At 41.2% G+C, this 19,659-nt stretch overlaps 2 annotated features.

Moving 5' to 3' along the window:
- Positions 6,009-6,153: an enhancer, noted in NCBI's record as "145 bp enhancer 182 fragment used in the MPRA reporter construct; PK_construct_3755". NCBI's record gives its function as "activates an SV40 promoter by MPRA in HepG2 and K562 cells {active_cell/tissue: HepG2 | K562}" and the evidence as "EXISTENCE:reporter gene assay evidence [ECO:0000049][PMID:23512712]".
- Positions 6,076-6,086: a transcriptional cis regulatory region, noted in NCBI's record as "NFE2L2 motif; enhancer activity is reduced when this motif is scrambled". NCBI's record gives its function as "necessary for full MPRA enhancer 182 activity {active_cell/tissue: HepG2 | K562}" and the evidence as "EXISTENCE:site-directed mutagenesis evidence [ECO:0005528][PMID:23512712]".

Genomic DNA, 19,659 nt, shown 5'->3' on the forward strand with positions numbered 1-19,659 from the left:
TACAAAGGGGTGAGTGGGGATAGCAGAGCCATAAGAGATAGTGGCAGTGGAACTGTATAGGAATAGGGTAAAAGAGAGCTTGCCAGAACCCAAAAAGAGAATGGCATAGAGCAGGCCACCTAGACAAGAGCAGTGACATTCTGTTGAGAGACTCAGCAACTTGTGTCAACCTCGCAGGAAGGAACCAAGGAAATATATGCCCTGACCCCATGCTCCTTTCTCTCTCCCTCCCATCTCCTGCGGAAAGCCAGAAGGCATAGGTGCCTTTGCTGTGATCCACACAGGACAGCCTCCCAGAACAGAAAATTATGGATAAAGGTGGAAAATGAATCTAAAAGGTCAAATTGAAGAAATCCAGCAAGCTTGCCTAGCCAAATAACTTCAGATTCTATACCACACAAAAGAAAGGCAGATAAACTTTAAATGTAAAGAGTGACTTAAAGCACTTTTCTGGGCACAGTGGCTCACCCCTGTAATCCCAGCACTTTGGAAGGCTGAGGCGTATGGATCACCTGAAGTCAGGAGTTTGAGATCAGCCTGGCCAACATGGTGAAACCTCGTCTCTACCAAAAATACAAAAACTATCCCAGCATGGCGGTTCATGCTACTTAGGAGGCTGAGGCAGGAGAATCACTTGAACTCGAGAGGCGGAGGTTGCAGTGAGCCAGGATCATGCCACTGCACTCCAGCCTGGGCAATAGAGCGAGACTGCATCTCAAAAAGAAATTTTTTAAAAAGAGCACTTTCTGGAATTATACAAGAGTAGTGAAAGATGGATAATAGAGGCAGATACCACTTTATCTCCTATTTTCTATCTTTCATTTCTGCCAAGGAGAAAGATTACTGGCCAGAAAATAATACAACAAGGATTAAGATAAAAGATCTAAAAATCCAAACTGGTGGAAAAATCATAAGAAAGCATCTGGGTTCTCTACATCGGTGCAAACCTCCTGGCCCCAACAAACTACATCCTAGCCTATACCTAGAAGAGATTGGTGACAAAATGAGCTGCTGTTCGTTATCACAAAGAATTCTAGAAACTGGGGCAGGAATCAATAGTGCAATTCTCAGGCAGGTTGTCTAACACCACCTTGAACATGGAGAGAAGAAAGGGGAGTATTTAATTGTGCATAAGATTCAGATAGGGAAAGTCATGACTAATGAATTAACAGGACTTCTGTTTTTATCCAAACTCTGCCAGACTGACAAATCAGAAGAAGCTGTCAATACGCAGCTTCACCATTTGAACTCAGCATTTGACAGAGACTTTTACCTTGTGAACAAGACAGAAGAATGTGGCCCAGATGATCACAAAGATAGGTGCTAATTATGAATCAATGTCAGCCCAGAGTTTCTAGTGTAAAGGAATTCTGTTTGCAGACTTGTCCTGTTCATTGAGTAAATAGTTGAGTGTACAGTTGGCTTGCTAATGCACTTCTCTGACTGCTGGGAAAGGTAGCCAATATATTTAATATGGCAGAGTGAAGATCCAAAGGCTCTAACGATAAGCCAAACTTAATAAAAATTTTAACTGAAATAAATGTAAAGCCCTACGCTTACATTTTTTTCGTGCATAAGAACAGAATCAGGTCCAGGCGCGGTGGCTCACACCTGTAATCCCAGCACTTTGAGAGGCCGAGGTGGGCGGATCACCTGAGGACGGGAGTTCAAGACCGCCTGACCAACATGGAGAAACCCCGTCTCTACTAAAAATACAAAAAAAAAAATTAGCCGGGCATGGTGGCGCATGCCTTTAATCCCGGCTACTCGGGAGGCTGAGGCAGGAGAATCGCTTGAACCCGGGAGGCGGAGGTTGTGGTGAGCCGAGATTGCACCATTGCACTCCAGCCTGGGCAACAAGAGTGGAAACTCCGTCTCAAAAAAAAAAGAACAGAATCAGAAAAACATGACTAGGCCCCTAATTAAACATGGTGGGGTTTATTTCTTTCTTGTTTTATTTCTTCTGTCCTCCCAAACCTATCAAAATGATAATAGATTAATTTTTGACAAAAAGTAAAACTCAAAAAAAAAAGAATGAGAGAGGAGAAATAGAAGACAGGAGATATGAGCAATAATTTGAAACACAGAAAGTGCATAGTAACTGATTTAGCAGAGCCTACCGTCAATGGGTCTGCAAAGAAGAATTCCAATGAAAGTGAAACCAATTCACTCCCAAGAACCCTGGAAAGACCTAGCACTAGGTTCTGTCCGGGTGCTGCAGAAAGGAGTGGTGAAGCACTGAGTGAAAAGTAATAGTGTGTGAAAGTATTCATATTAATAGAATGAGCTGCTTAGTGAGGGTGTGTTTTCATTCACTGAAGATGTTGGAGCAGAATTAAACACTAATCAAATATGTTATAAAAGTGATTCAAATGTTGGACACAAACTTGACTCCAATGACTTTTAAAGCCCCATCACTCTGAAATCCTATGATTCTAGAATTTATAGTTACTTACAAAATTGTGTAGACAGGACTTCAATAGGTTTTAGGTACTTCCGGATGTATTTTTATCAGCGTCCAATAGGTGGCGCTGTGGTATAAGATGAGACTCAGCAAATGGCTGCCCTTACTTGATTCTCCTGTGCCCTACCGAGTGTCTAATAACAAGTAACAGCTAGAATGTTTGATTTTTTTTAATCGGAAATCTAAACCCAGAGATTCAGAACACCTAGGTTTCATAGTTCTTGTGGCGCATGAGCCTTTGTGTGATTTAGTTTGTCATCCTTCTCTGTCCTTCCGTCTTATTCCTATCCAAGTTGTGGCACTTCAATGTATTTGTCGTTCTCGGACAGCAAAGTAAGTCAAACGCGAAACAACTCCCCCTTCACATCCCGGATGCCCTGCCTCCATTGCGTGTACCCTTTATCTCAGGGCTCTGAGTGTGTGGGGCTCTACAAGCGTTATCTCCCTTGATTTAAAAAATAATAATAAATAAAAACAAGACAAAACAAAGAACTTACTGTTCCAGCACAAGTTTACATCAGTATCGATCAGGAATACGATTGTCTCCGGCTGTCCTCCCTTTTCTGCTGATTAGGAGATTCATGCTTCGCTTCTTTGTTTTTGTTGTTTTTGTTTTCGTTTTGATTTATTAAATGAATTCCTTCATATCATAGCCAAGTCCAATACACTTTGCTTCCTAAAAGCTAATTACTTAATATCTAGCTCTTATTGACAAATTTTGCCACTCATCAAAGTTGTAAAACTTGGTTTCTTCATTTCCCTTTATCTGCTTCAGATTTACAAGGTCCCTGGGGAATTTCTGCTTCTCATCAAGGAATGTCTCCATCAACTCCATATATTCAGGTAACTCTGCTCCCACATTGAAGACTCAAATCCAGGAAAATTTCCTAACATGAGGCATCTGTAAAGCTGTCCAATTCACCCTCTTGGCATAACCTGTCCCGCAGGGTTTTTCAACTTAATGATTTTTTTTTTCATTTTGGCTAAATGCCATTAGTCCACCCAGAAAGCAAGACTGGCCTTTTTGTTTGTTTGTTTTTAACGGAGGTTTCACTCTTGTTGCCCAGGCTGGAGTGCAGTGGCGCGATCTCAGCTCACTGCAACCTCCGCCTTCCAGGTTCAAGCAATTCTCCTCCCTCAGCCTCCCAAGTAGTTGAGATTACAGGCACGTGCCACCACTCACAGCCAATTTTTGTATTTTTATTAAAGACGGGGTTTCACCATGTTGCATGTTGGCCAGGCTGGTCTCAAACTCCTGACCTCAAGTGATATGCCTGCCTCAGCCTCCCAAAGTGCTGGGATTACAGACGTGAGCCATTGCACCGGCCAAGGCTGCCTTTTTTAAATACTTGAGTCTAGTCTAACTGACAAGAAATGTTAGTGAGTTGAGCTGGGGGGGAAAAGGCCCATACTCACAATGCAAAACAGTAACAAACCCCAAACAACAACAGCAACAACAACAAAAAACCAGCATTCTTTCCATGACCAGATTTTCAATAGTAATTTCATCTTTGCACCTTGTGTAAGTACACATCCTAGCAGCCTTGCTCAGTTACATATCTGATTGACTCCTGTTGTTTTACTTGGTTTTCTAAAATGTCCTCTGTACTAATCTGATCTGAACTCATATTTTCCATCAGTTCTATACCAACTTTCTAGACTTGATCTTTCTGTTGTTCTCTGGAAAGAACAGAAGTATTTAGAGCAGTTAATAAGCACTTGTGGAAACCTCTCTGAGTTGTTTGTCTCACAGAAGGAAGAGTTACACCTGGCTAATTAGTCCTCCAACTACATCGTTTCTGTAGTTTCAAAACGTTCTCACATTTCCAACATCAGTGGTGTAAGTGAACACCCACCCACCCCAAATCACAAAATAAAAAACTTTCAAAGGAATGTTATGCATTTGTCATACAGATTCTCATATGTTTATTTTAAATTTATTATGTTCATAACATATTTAGTCTGTTAAGTAGCTTATAATGTTGGGTTGGAAGTAGTGTTCTTAGTGGTCCTTGTAATCTGCTATCAGGCAAATTGCAGAGCCTATTGAAAAGGAAAGATTTTCAACTTTGTGGGTTCGAATTCTACATACAAGCCCCTACTCAAGCCGCATTCATTTATGTTGTGATGAAGCTGTGTACTGGGAGACCCTGGAACGGCCCAATGGGTTCACCTTTCCCGCTGCCTAGACAGAGCGAATTTATCAAGACAGGGGAATTGCAGTAGAGAAAGAGTAATTCACACAGAGCTGGCTGTGCAGGACACCAGAGTTTTATTATTACTCAAATCAGTCGCCCTGAGCATTCAGGTATCAGAGTTTTTAAGGACAACTTAGTGAGTTGCGGGAAGCCAGTGAGCCAGGAGTGCTGATTGGTTAGGTAGGAGATGAAATCATAGGGAACTGAAGCTGTCCTCTTGCGCTGAGTCAGTTCCTGGGTGGGGGCCACAAGATCAGATGAGCCAGTTTATCGATCTCGGTGGTTCCAGCTGATCCATCAAGTGCGGGTCTGCAAAATGTCTCAAGCACTGATCTTAGGATCAGTTGAGGGAGGATCAGAATCTTGTAGCCTCCAGCTGCATGACTCCAAAACCATAATTTCTAATCTTGTGGCTAATTTCTTAGTCCTACAGAGGCAGTCTAGTCCCCACACAAGAAAGAGTTTTGTTTTGGGAAAGGGCTATTATTGTCTTTGTTTTAAACTATAAGTTCCTCCCAAAGTTAGTTCGGCCTATGCCCAGGAGGGAGAAAGGACAGCTTAAAGGTTAGAACCAAGATAGAGCCAGTTAGATCTCTTTCACTGTCTGTCATAATTTTGCAAAGGCAGTTTCAACCCTAAGGATGAGGCACACCAGTGTCTCTGTAACTCAAGCATCTTAAACATAGATGTGGTTTGCCTCCCACCAGGACAAAGGAGAAGCTTTCTAAAGCTGATGAAAGAGCTGCTCAAGAGAGCATACAAGCGCAGTGGCTCATGCCTGTAATCCCAGCACTTTGGGAGGCCGAGGTGAGCAGATCACTTGAGGTCAGGAGTTTGAGACCAGCCTGGCCAACATGGTAAAACCCCGTCTCTACTAAAAATACAAAATTAGTCAGGCCTAGTGGCACATGCCTGCAATCCCAGGGAGGCCTAAGGCAGGAGAATCACTTGAACCCAGGAGACAGAGGTTGCTTGACCCGGGAGACAGAGGTTTCGGTGAGCCAAGATCATGCCACACTGCACTCCAGCCTGGGCAACAAGAGTGAAACTCTATCTCAAAAAAAAAAAAAAAAAATGCATACAAGTTTTTGGTTTCTAAAGCAAAATAATAATAATCAACTTGAGCCTATACTTGCTTCAAGAAAATTTTCAGTCAGATTTAAAACAAATAACAATCACAAAAAAAAAAAAAACCTGACTAGGCTTCTATGAGATTATACCACCTAAAGTATGCCCTAGCTCAGGCTGCCATAGCAAAATATCATAGGCTGAAGAGAAACAATGGAAATCTATTCTCTCGCAGTTCTGGACGCCGTTCCCAGAACTGGAAGGTGCAATGCTGCCGTAGCAACAAATAAACCCAGGTCACCATGCTGACTCTTCAGCTGCTGTGTTCATTGACCCACCATCATGGTGACTCAGCAACTTTCTTTCTCTGCTCCTCCAGCTCCACTGCTACCAACCTCTTTAATATCAACTTTGAGTATCTTTTCTCTACCTCACAACTAACATAACTTCTGCTAGTCCGTGGCTTTTACAGCCTCTTGCATTTGTGTACTGCATCTCTGGAGAGCCCAGATCTGCTTCCGTTATCAATTGTCTGCCTCTTGTCCTTTATTGATCACCAGTACAAATTCTTGAGAGAGAAAACCTGATTGAGTTAGCAAGTAACTATAGGCTTCCTCACAGGCCTCCAGCCCAGTGGGTCTCAAATGTGAGCATGGAATCACCTGGAAGGCTTCTTAAAACACAGATTGCCAACGGGAGTGGTGGCTCACGCCTGTAATTCCAGCACTTTGGGAGGCCAAGGCAGGCAGATCACTTGAGGTCTCGAGACCAGCCTGACCAAGATGGTGAAATCCCATCTTTACTAAAAATACAAAAATTAGCCAGGCATGGTGGTGCGCACCTATAATCCCAGCTACTCAGGAGGCTGATCAGGAGAATCGCTTGAACCTGGGAGGCACAGGTTGCAGTGGGCCGAGATTGCACCATGGCAGCACTCCAGCCTGGATGACAGAGTGATTCTCTGTCTCAAAAAAAAAAGAAAGAAAGAAAGAAAAAACACACAGATTGCTATGCACTACCCTCAGAAGTTCTAATTCGGCAGATCTCCAGCAGAGTCCGATCACCCATATTGCTATACATTTCCAGGTGATGCTGATGTTTCTGATCTTGAGACCACACTTTGAAAACCACTGCTCTAGCCTGTAGGTGAACGGTCCTTGGGTAAGATGTCCATCAGCTGTAGGCCGGGGAATATGTGATGTGGTTGTGGATGTGGCCACCTATGGATAAGGATAATAAGACTTCCAGGGGATTCTATGCTCACATTTGAGAACCACTGGGCTGGAGGCCTGTGAGGAAGCCTATAGTTACTTGCTAACTCAATCAGGTTTTCTCTGTCAAGAATTTGCACTGGTGATCAATAAAAGACAAGAGGCAGGAATTGGTAATGGAAGCAGAGCTGGGCTCTCCAGAGATACAGTCAACAAATGCAAGAGGCTGTAGAAGTGTCCATTTCCCTCAACAAAAGGCTCTGGACATAAACATTTTAATATGGCCTGTGGACAGGCAAGCTGTTGTCTGACATTTTCCCTGTTCTGTCTTTTACTATGAGACGTCCACCAGGCTTTCACTGAGTGCCTACTACATGCCAAGCTTTCATTGTGCTAAGCATTGGAGATATAAAACTCAGCCATTTTAACTTGTAATCACGGAGGACTTAGCTAGATAAATTTTAATGACTTGTAAAAATTAAGATAAATGTTTTGGTTCCCTTTTAAATAGAAAGACATATCAAAAGATAACTACAGAAATTCTCAAAAGTTTCCACTCAAATCGAGTTGTGATAAAAACAGAAGTGTGAGGGGTGCATAAGTAAGAAAAGCACATTCAAAAAAATAATTCAGTTAAAAGAATTAGTTATGAACTACTCAGAATGTTTAACACAGAGCAAACCAACATATATTATGTTGAAAATAAACTAGCCTCGGTGCTCTCAAAATCCAGATTCATGCAAAGAAGTAAAGCCAGCATTTCTGAAAAGGAAGAGTTATTCAGCAGATCTGCTAGAGGCAGGAAATAAGCAAAATGTATACTGAATTTTTAGTAAAGGCTAAAAACCTGCTTCCATCCCTAAGTCATTCAGGTTCCATTGCCCACCCTTCCCATCTCTGAATTTTGGCATTTGCCCTGCCTAAATTCGGGGTGGATTGTGTTGTATTATATCGTCCTCTAGTGGTTTCAAAAATTTCTTGTCTCCCTTCTCTACAGTCAGTGCCTATCACAGGGCCACACAGACACTTGATGTGAATGAATGTTAAATGGACTGATGGATGACATAGGTCCTACATCCTACTTGATGACTGAGACTGGGTGACACAACCTATGTCAGCTTCACTAGGAGAATGAGCATACAAGTATTTTAGGCTCAAGCTACTTATGCCATCATTGATTGTCCTTAAAAATAGACAACGAGGCTGGGTGCAGTGGCTCACACCAGTAATCCCAGCACTTTGGGAGGCCGAAGCAGGCATATCACCTGAGGTCAGGAGTTCAAGACCAGCCTGACCAACATGGTGAAACCCCGTCTCTACTAAAAATACAAAAAATTATCTGGGCATGGTGGCAAGTGCCTGTAATCCCAGCTACTCAGGAGGCTAAGGCAGGAGAATTGCTTGACCTGGAAGGCAGAGGTTGCAGTGAGCTGAGATTGCGCCACTGCACTCCAGCCTGGGCAACAAGAATGAAACTCCATCTTAAAAAATATATATATATTCTGTGAGCTAATTTTTGTTGTTGTTGTTGTTGTTGTTGCCAGCTTGGTTTATTATGCTTTTTGGTTTGAGGTGTTTTTTGTGTGTGGATTTTTTTTTTCACTTTATGTATTTGTTCAACAAGTGTTTATTGCTTCCACTATGTGCAAGGGACCCTGATGGTGAGTTTGGGGAGCAATTGAGGTGCAAATGGGATATATCCTTGCCCTCAAAGTGCTTACAGCATAGGAAGAAACCAGAGTAAACACGGATTCCACTCCAGCAATGTTTCAGGGTGCCCCAAGAGAGTAATGGTTTTAAAAGTTCAGAGAAGGGAGAGGTTGCCTCTGAAATAATTATCTCTGGACATATGACACCTGTCTCTCTTTCCTAAATGAAGACCACTCAACAGCAAACAAATCACAGGATGTCAACATGACAGAGCTGATGTCATAGTCTACACTTAAGCTGTGACTAAGTTCAAGAGTCCATTCCTGTTCTTCAAGTAACAAAAATGCTACTAGATTTCAACACAGAAATAATATTCACTCAGTATTTACTGACTTTAAAATACCTTACCAGTTACCATGAGGAAAGAAAAAAAAATAGCTAAGATATTGACTCTGACATGAAGGAAATTATTATATAGTGGGAGAAAGTTGCTTAGGATTAGTAATTAAGCAATGTATCAGAACTGAGATCTTATGATTCTCCAATTTAAACTCAGCTATTAAAGTTTATTGAAATAATTTATAACATATCTAGGTGTTAGTATTGGAACTGGAGGTAGAAAAAAAGTTTTATCTTCTTTGCTGGAAAGAAATTTGCAAAACGTTTGTTGATGAAGGAATGGTATAGGCAGAATATAAAGTTTTCCTACAAGTTAGTAATAAAAAGACAAACCACCTAATCAAAAGTTGGATGAAATACTCAAACAGACGTTTCTCAAAAGAAGACATAAAAAGGTGAGCACGTTTTCATGTGCTTATTGGCCATTTCTATTAGTCATCAGGGAAATGCAAAGTAAATGAGATACCACTATCCACCTATCAGAATGGCTTACAATTAAAAAGATTGATAGCACCAGCTGTGATGCAGATATAGAAAATCAGAACTCTCAGACATTGTTGGTAGGCTTGTAAAATGATACAAGTATTTTGGGAAAAGGCCTGACATGTTCTTATAAAGCTAGACAGGCACCTACCCTGTGATGTCACAATTCTACTCCTAGATATTTAACAAAGGAAAAAAAATACTGTCTAGCCAAATGTGGTGGCTCCTGCCTGTAACCCCAGCTACTTGGGGAGCTGAGGCAGGAGGATCCCTGGAGGCCAGGTGTTTAAGAGCAGCCTGGGCAACCTAGCAAGACCCTGTCTCTACAAAAAAAAAAAAAAAAGTTTAATTAGCTGGATGTAGTGGTGCGCACCTGCAGTCCTAGCTATTCAAGTGGCTGAGGCAGGAGGATTGCTTGAGCCCAGGAGTTCAAGGTCGTAGTGAGCTATGATTATGCTACTGCACTCCCGCCTGGATGACAGAGAGTGACCTCATTTCTTTCTTTTTTTTTTCTTCTGTAAATTATGAATAACCTTGGAAGAGACCTTGTTTATTTAAAAAAAAAAAAAGCCTCTCTTTCCCCTAAACTGTATTCATCAATAAGGGAATTAATAAACTGTGCTACACTTACACAGTGAAGAAAAAGTAACAAAATACACATCAACAAAAAATAGTAAACTATTGATATAGCAGCATATAGCAGCAACATTGATACATCCCAAAAACATTATGTTGAGTGAAATGAGTCTTACTCAAAAGAGAACACATTATAAGATTCCGTTTATATGAAGTTCTAGGACAGTCAAATCTACTCTGTGGTAGAAGAAAAAATGAAAACAGTTGTTTCTTCTTTTGGGTGACTGCTATCACTTGAATGTGTGTGTTCCCTCAAAATTCATATGTTGAAACCTAATCACCAATGCAATAGTATTAAGAGATGGGGTCTTTGGAAGGTGATTAGGATAGGAAGGAGGAGCCCTCATCAATAGGATTTGGGCTCTTAGAAAAGAGACCTAGCCTGGCATTGTGGCTCACGCCTGTAATCCTAAAACTTTGGGAGACATGGATCACTTGAGCTCAGGAGTTCGAGACCAGCCTGGGCAACATGACGAAACCCCATCTCTACAAAAAAGTACAAAAATTAGCCAGGTGTGGTGGTGTGCTCCTATAGTCCCAGCTACTTGGGGACTAGGGCAGGAGGATAGCTTGAACCTGGGAGGTCAAGGCTGCAGTGAACTGAGATCATGCCACTGCACTCCAGCCTGGGTGACAAAGTGAGACCCTGTCTCAAAAAAAAGAGAGACCCAAGAGAGCTGCCTTGCCCCTTCCACCATGTGAGGATGCAACAAGAAGTCATCTAAGAACTAGGAAAAGTCATCCTAAGAACTAGGAAACAGGCCCTCACCAGTCACTGAATCTGCCAGAGCCTTGATCTTGGACTTCCCAGCCTCTGGAACTATAAGAGACAAATTTCTGTTGTTTATAAACCTCTAGTTTGTGATATTTTGTTATAGCAGCCTGAATACACAAGGACAGTGGGGGTGGAGATGGACTGAGAAGGGACATGAAGGAAGTTTTTGAGTTGATGATAATGTCCCATGTCTTGCTGGGAGTTTGGTTACAAATATATATGTATTTGTCAAAACTTGATAAATGTACACATAAGATAGTGTATTTCATTTTACATAAATTTTATATCAAAAGAAAAATCTATAAATATTAAACTTCACTTAGTAGTATACATGCTGAAGTATTTAGGGAAAGTGTATTGATACCTACAATTAACTTTGAAATATATCAAAAAATATAACGGGTGATGTGAGTGGGGCTTGTGGGTTAAAAATATACATGATGGAACAATTAATGAGTAGATGAACAGACATGACCAAACAAGCATGATATTATGTTAATAGAATCTGTGTCATGGGTATGTAGATGGATGTTCATTGTAACTCATTATAAAATTGTAAAATTCTTTTTACTTTGCTGTATGTTTGGAAATTTTTATAACAAAATGTTGAAAATATATATATAATCAATAGACTTCAAAGTGGAGCATAATGGTATAAATACTGAAATAAGTGTGTCTACAGAAATTTATTTATTTATTTATTTATTTTGAGACAGATTCTTGCTCTGTGGCCCAGGTTGGAGTGCAGTGGCGTGATCTTGGCTCACTGCAACCTCCGCCTCCTGGGTTCAAGCAACTCTCCTGCCTCAGCCTCCCGAATAAGTGGGATTACAGGCTCACGCCACCATGTCCGGCTAGTTTTTGTATTTTTGTAGAGACGGTGTTTCACCATGTTGGCCAGGCTAGTCTTAAACTCCTGACCTCAGGTAATCCACCCGCCTCAGCCTCCCAAAGTGCTGGGATTATAGGCATGAGCCACCGTGCCCAGCCTACAGAAATATTTTTAAAATATGGTTGTAGTCAGCATTATTACCATGATATTCTACTTTTTAAAAAATCTGTCATTATTTTACACTGTTCTATGTTTATTCATTGTCTTTATATTTATCCTTTTAAATGACTGCATAGTTATACACCAATATCACTATGCCAAAAGCAACTTAACTATGCCTCTACAGTAGATGTTCACTATAGCAGAGGCAGGAGGAAAAGCCCTAGAATAGAGGCCAGATGTTGGGGTTCCAGTCCTCCTCAACTCAGTCTCTGCTGGCTACTCTCTGTCTGATCCTTGCTGGGCAGGTTCTCTATCTCACCTGTCCTCAGTCTTCTCCTGTGTTAACTGAGGTACCAAGATTAAAAGAAATCTACAGCCCCTGCCAGCTCTGTACTTGGTGCTTTTATAAGGGTGGTTTGTAGTTTTTACTTTGTTATGAATAAAACCATTATGAATAATTTTAGAGAGTTACTTGTCAAATTGTAAAAATAATAATATTGGCTGAGTGACATAAGATTCAGAAAAATAAGAAAATGTTTAAAAGTTTAAACAAAAAAAACTAATCACACATAAGCACTCTACCCAAAGATTATAATTGTCAACATTCCAGTGTATCTTCTTCTACATTAGATTTGCAGTGAGCCATGATTGCACCACTGCACTCCACTGTATGTACTTTCAAACATACAGCAAAGTTCAAAGAACTTTAGAATGAATTACAATGGGGCCAGGTGCGGTGGCTCACGCCTGTAATCCCAGAACTTTGGGAGGCCAAGGAGGGTGGATCATGAGGTCAGGAGTTTGAGACCAGCCTGGCCAACATGGTGGCACCCTGTCTCTACTGAAAATACAAAAAAAAAAAAAAATTAGCTAGGCATGGTGGTGTGCGCCTGTAATCCCAGCTACTCGGGAGGCTGAGGCACGAGAATCGCTTGAATCCTGGAGGTGGAGGTTGCAGTGAGCCAAGATCGAGCCACTGCACTCCAGCCTGGGCGACAGGGCAAGACTGCATCTCGGGGGAAAAAAAAAAAAAAAAAAGAATGAATTACAATAAACATCCATCCACATACCCATGACCTAGATTCTATTAACATAATATTATACTTGTTTTGTCACACCTGTTCATCTACCCATTAATGGCTCCATCATATATATTTTTAACCCAGAAGCCCCACTCACACTGCTACATATTTTTTGATGCATTTTAATTTTTGTTTTTCTTTTTGAGACAGGGTCTCATTCTGTCACCCAGGCTGGAGTGCAGTGGTGCAATAATGGCTCACTGCAGCCTCGAACTCCCGGGCTCAGGTGATCCTTCCACCTCAGCTTCCCAAGTAGTTTGGACTACAGTTAGGTGCCACCATACCTGGCTAACTTTTTTTATTTTTTGTAGAGACAGGGATCTCACTCTGTTGCCCAGGCTGATCTTGAACTCTTGGCATCAGTGATCATCCTGCCTTGGACTCCCAAAGTGTTGGGATTTACAGGTGTGAGCAACTGTGCCCAGCCTGATTTGTCAATTTTTTAATGTGTTAGTATGAAATTTCTTAGAAAAAAATTCCTTACACAGGTTGGGTTCTCCAGGAGCACAGTGATTTGGGATCTGCATGCAATATATTTATTCAAAATCAACACCCATAGAAGGAAGGGAGAAGGAAGCAGGATTGGGCAGATGGAAAAGTGGAACGCCAGTGCAGGCCTGGTGAAGTCTCAGCCATAGGATGTGCTACGGAGTATGTATGATGGAACAGAATTGCTGTGCATTAAGACAAAATAACCAGGCCTTGTAACATGGCTTCAATCAGTCATTGGTTGTGGGCTACCCCAGGAAGCTGAGGCAAGCCCTGAAGAAGCTGACAGTTGGGGGCTGTGAGCTAACAACCAGACAAGCTCCCCCTGGAAGTGGGATCCATGACACACATCTCTGTGTCCACCACGGCATATTTTGTTTTGATTTGCATTTCTTTCACTATTAGTGAAGTTTTAAAATATTTATAGATTAAAATGCATATTGAATCATGTTTAAAACACTTTCAATCTAATGTACAACCCCTTCCCCAACAAGGGGCCGCTGAATTATTCCATTCTTTGAAGTGCCTTCAAGCCCTAGTGCAGTTTAGGCAGGAAAGATAGTGATGAGGTTGGATAGGGAGGGAAGGATAGAACCCAATTGAGAAGAGAGGTTGGAACTTTATGTACTGGCAATAAGACAGTCACCTAATGTCGCTGAATAGGGGGATGTCATGATGAAATTCTGGCCTATCACAGTGATTCTAGCAAAAGATGTCAGCACCACAATCCAGCCTTAAACAACACCCAGACAACTCTTCTTGAGCAAGACTTGACGTTTCTGACTTTCTGAGAGTTTGACCTTTCAGAGTTCTTCCATATCCAATTCTCACTGGAAAACCACCCAACCATGGTGAATAAGTTAAGGTTAAAGATTATGGTAAGCAGCACTGGGCACAGTGGCTCACGCTTGTAATCCCAGCACTTTGGGAGGCTGAGGCGGGCGGATCACGAGGTCAGGAGTTCAAGACCAGCCTCACCAACATGGTGAAACCCCATCTCTAATAAAAATACAAAAATTAGCCAGGTGTGATGGTGGGCACCTGTAATCCCAGCTACTCAGGAGGCTGAGGCAGGAGAATCACTTGAACCCAGGAGGCGAAGCCTGCAGTGAGCCGAGATCGTGCCATTGCACTCAAGCCTGGGTGACAGAGTGAGACTCCGTCTCAAAAAAAAAAAAAAAAAAAAAAAAAGATTATGGTAAGCAGCAACAAGCGATGGATCAGAAAATAAATAAGACATGTCCGGGCGTGACGGCCCACACCTGTAACCCCAGCACTTTGGGAGACCAAGGCAGGCCAATTACCTGAAGTCAGGAGTTCAAGACCACGCTGGCCAACATGGCAAAACCCTGTCTCTACCAAAAATACAAAAATTAGCTGGGCGTGGTGGCAGGTGCCTATAATCCCAGCTATTCAGGAGGCTGAGGCAGGAGAATCACTTGAACCCAGGAGGCAGAAGTTGCAGTGAACCAAGATCTCAGCATTGCACTGAAGCCTGGGCAATAGAGCAAGACTATCTCAAAAAAAAAAGAAGAGAAGAGAAGAGAAGAGAGAAAGAAAGGAAGGAAGAAAGAAAGAAAGAAAGAAAGAAAAGAAAGAAAGAAAAAGAGGAAAAAGAAGAAAACAGTGTAGAAGCTATACCTGAACATGGTCCAGGCAAGAACCCCACAGCTGGAATTAGAGTCTAAGGAGGCCGAGTGCATTGGCTCATGCCTATAATCCCAGCACTCTGGGAGGCCAAGGCAGGCAGATCACCTGAGGTCAGGAGTTTGAGACCAGCCTGGCCAACATGGCAAGACCCCATCTCTACAAAAATACAAAAATTAGCTGGGCATGATGGCAGGTGCCTGTAATCCCAGCTACTCGGGAGGCTGAGGCCGGAGAATCACTTGAACCCAAGAGGCAGAGATTGCAGTGAGCCAAGATTGTGCCATTGCACTCCAGCCTGGGCGACTGAGCAAGACTCTGTCTCAGAAAGAAAAAAAAAAAAGTTGTTAATTGTTATAAGTACATAATAGGTATATATTTTTATGGGGTGCATAAGATATTTTGATACAGGCATACAATGAGTAATAATCACATTAAAGTAAATGGAGTATCCATCAGCTTGAACATTTATCATTTCTGTATGTTACAAACATTTCAATTATAGCTTTTTAGTTATTTTATTTTATTTTTACGTTATGTACTTTTTGTTTTTTTTTTTTTGAAACGGAGTTTCACTCTTTTTGCACAGGCTGGAGTGCAATGGCTCGATCTCAGCTCATTGCAACTTCCACCTTCCAGGTTCAAGCAATTCTCCTGCCTCAGCCTCCCAAGTAGCTGGGGGTATAGGCATGCGCCACCACTCCCAGCTAATTTTTTTGTATTTTTAGTAGAGACGGGGTTTCACTATGTTGGTCAGGCTTGTCACGAACTCCTGATCTCGGGTGATCCACCCGCCTCAGCCTCCTAAAGTGTTGGGATTACAGGCTTGAGCCACCACATCTGGCCCAGTTTTTAGTTATTTAAAATGTACAGGCTGGGCACAGTGGCTCATGCCTGTAATCCCAGCATTTTGGGAGGCTGAGGCAGGTGGATCACCTGTGGTCAGGAGTTCGAGACCAGCCTGACCAACATGGCAAAACCCCGTCTCCACTAAAAATACAAAATTACCCGGGTATGGTGGTACACACCTGTAATCCCAGCTACTCAGGAGGCTGAGGCAGGAGAATCGCCTGAACCCGGGAGAAGGAGGTTGCAGTGAGCCGAGATTGCACCATTGCACTCCAGCCTGGGCAACAAGAGTGAAACTCCATCTCAAAAAAAGTACAATAAATTATTGCTGACTATAGACACCCTGTTGTGGTATCAAATACTAAATATTATATTCATTCTATGTAACTGTATTTTTGTGCCCACTAACCATCTCCACTTCTGCCCACTCCCAACTATCCTTCCCACCCTCCAGTAACCATCCTTCTACTCTCAGCCTCCATGAGTTCAATTTTTTAAATTTTGAGCTCCCACAATTAAGTGAGAACTTGCAAAGTTTGTCTGTCTATTCCTGGCTTATTTCACTTAACATAATGTCCTCTAGTTCCATCCATGTTGTTACAAATGACTAGATCTCATTCTTTTTTATGGCTAAATAGTACTCCATTGTGGCCGGGCGCGGTGGCTCACACCTGTAATCCCAGCACTTTGGGAGGCCAAGACAGGTGGATCACGAGGTCAGGAGTTCAAGACCAGCCTGGCCAAGATGGTGAAACCCCGTCTCCACTAAAAATACAAAAAATTAGGCAGGCATGGTGGTGGGCACCTGTAATCACAGCTACTCAGGAGGCTAAGGCAGAGACTTGCTTGAACCCGGGAGGCGGAGGTTGCAGTGAGCCGAGATCATGCCACTGCACTCCACCCTGGATGACAGAACGAGACTCCATCTCAAAAAAAAAAAAAAAAAGAAGGGCGTGCGGTGGTTCACGCCTGTAATCCTAGCACTTTGGGAGGCCAAGGCGGGCAGATCACGAGGCCAACAAGGTGAAACCCTGTCTCTACTAAAACTCCAAAAATCAGCTGGGCTTGGCGGCGTGCCCTGGAGTCCCAGCTACTTGGGAGGCTGAGGCAGGAGAATCGCTTGAACCCAGGAGGCAGAGGTTGCAGTGAGTTGAGATCATGCCACTGCACTCCAGCCTCAGCGACAGACCAAGACTCTGTCTCAATAATAATAATAATAATAATATTCTATTGTATATGTGTACCACATTTTCTTTATCCATTCATCCATTGATGAACACAGGTTGCTTCCAAATCTTGGCTATTGTAAACAGTGCTGCAATAAACATGGAGTGCAGATACCTCCTCAACATGCTGATTTCATTTCCTTTGGATAAATACCCAGTAATGGGATTCTTGAATCATATGGTACCTCTATTTTTAGTTTTTTGTTGAACCTCCAAACTCTTCTCCATAATAGCTGCACTAATTTACATTCCCACCAAGAGTTCCTTTTTTTCACATTCTCACCAGCATTCATTATTGCCTGTGTATTGCTTAAATACAATTTTTACTGAGGTGAGATGATATCTCATCATAGTTTTGATTTGCATTTCTCTGATGCTCAGTGATGTTGAGAACCTTCTCATATACCCATTTGCCATTTGTATTTCTTCTTTTGAGAAATGTCTATTCAGATCTTTTGCCCTTTTTTAATCAGATTAATAGATTTTTTTCCTGTAGAGTTGTTTGAGCTCCTTATATATTCTGATTATTAATGCCTTGTCAGATGGATAGTTTGCAAATATTTTCTCCCATTCTGTGGGTTGTCTCTTCACTTTGTTGATTGTTTCCTTTGTTGTGCAGAAGTTTTTAACTTGATGTGATCCCATTTGTCCAGTTTGGCTTTAGTTGCCTGTGCTTTGGGATATTGCTTAAGAAATCTCTGCTCAGACCAATGTCCTGCAGTTTCCCTGATGTTTTCTTTTAGTAGTTTCATCATTTGAAGTCTTAGATTTAGGTCTTTAATCCATTTTGATTTGATTTTTTCTATGGTAAGAGATAGGGGTCTAGTTTCATTCTTCTGCATATGGATATCCAGTTTGCCCAGCATCATTTATTAAAAAGACTGTCCTTTCACCAACATATGGTCTTGGCACCTTTGTCAAAAATGAGTTCACTGTAGATGCAGGGATTTGTTTCTGAGTTCTTTATTCTGTTCCATTGGTCATGTGTCTGTTTTTATACAACTGCCATGCTGTTTTTATTACTGTAGCTCTGTAGTATAATTTGAAGTCAGATAATGTGAGTCTTCCAGTTTTGCTCAGGATGGCTTTGGCTATTCTGGGTCTTTTGCAGTTCCACATAAATTTTAGGATTAATTTTTCTATTTCTGTGAAGAATGTCATTGGTATTTTGATAGAGATTATATCAAATCTGAGGATTGCTTTGGGTAGTATGAATGTTTTAACAATATTGATTCTTCCAATTCATGAACGTGGAATGTCGTTCCATTTTTTTGTGTCCTGTTCAATTTCTTGCATCAATGTATTATAGTTTTCATTGTAGACATCTTCTCTGCTTTCATTAAGTTTATGTGTAGGAATCTTATTTTATTTTTAGCTATTGTAAATGGGATTAATTCTTTATTTCTTTTTCAGATCGTCCATTGTTCACATATAGAAATCCTACTGATTTTTGTGTTGATTTTGTATCCTACAGTTTTACTAAGTTTATTAGTTGTAATAGTTTAGTGGTGAAGTCTTTAGGTTTTTCCAAATGTAAGATTGTCTCAGCAAACAAGGATAATTTGACTTCTTCCTTTCCAATTTGGATGCCTTTTATTTCTCTTATCTGATTGCTCTAGGTAGGACTTCCAGTACTATGTTAAATAACAGTAGTGAAAGTGGGTACACTGGTCTTATTCCAGATCTTAGAGGAAAGGCTTTCAGTTTTTCCCTGTTCAGTATGATACTAGCTATGGGTCTGTCATATATGGCTTTTACTGTGTTAAGGTATCTTCCTTCTATTCCCAGTTTTTTCTTTTTCTTAGGGATGTTAGATTTTATCAAATGCTTTTTCAGCATCAATGGAAATGATCATATGGTTTTTATCTTTAATTCTGTTGATATGATATATCACATCGATTGATTTGCATATGTTGGATCATGCTTGCATCTCTAGAATAAATCCCACTTGGTCATGATAAATGATCTTTTAAATGAGTTGTTGAATTTAATTTACTGGTATTTTGTTGAGGGTTTTTATATCAATGTTCATCAAGGATATTGGACTGTAGTTTTCTTTTTTTGATGCATCTTTGTCTGATGTTGGTATCAGGGTAATACCAGCCTCATAGGATGAGTATGGACTTGTATTCTCCTCCTCTATTTTTCAGAATAGCTTGAGTAAGATTGGTATTAGTCCTTCTTTAAATGTTTGGTAAAATTCATCAGTCAAGCCATTGGGTCCCAGGTTTTTCTTTGCTGGGAAAGTTTTTATTACGGCTTCAATCTCATTACTTGTTATTGGTCTCTTCAAGTTTGAGATTTCTTCATAGTTCAGTCTTGGTAGGTTGTATGTATCTAGGAATTTATCCATTTCATCTAGGTTTTCCAACTTACTGGCATATAGTTGCACGTAACAGCCTCTAATGATCCTTTGAATTTCTGCAGTAATCCATTCTAATGTCTCCTTTTCATCTCCGATTTTATTTGGGTCTTCTCTCTTTTTTTC

This window comes from Homo sapiens, chromosome 5, assembly GCF_000001405.40.
Source record: "Homo sapiens chromosome 5, GRCh38.p14 Primary Assembly".
Taxonomy (NCBI): Eukaryota; Metazoa; Chordata; class Mammalia; order Primates; family Hominidae; genus Homo; species Homo sapiens.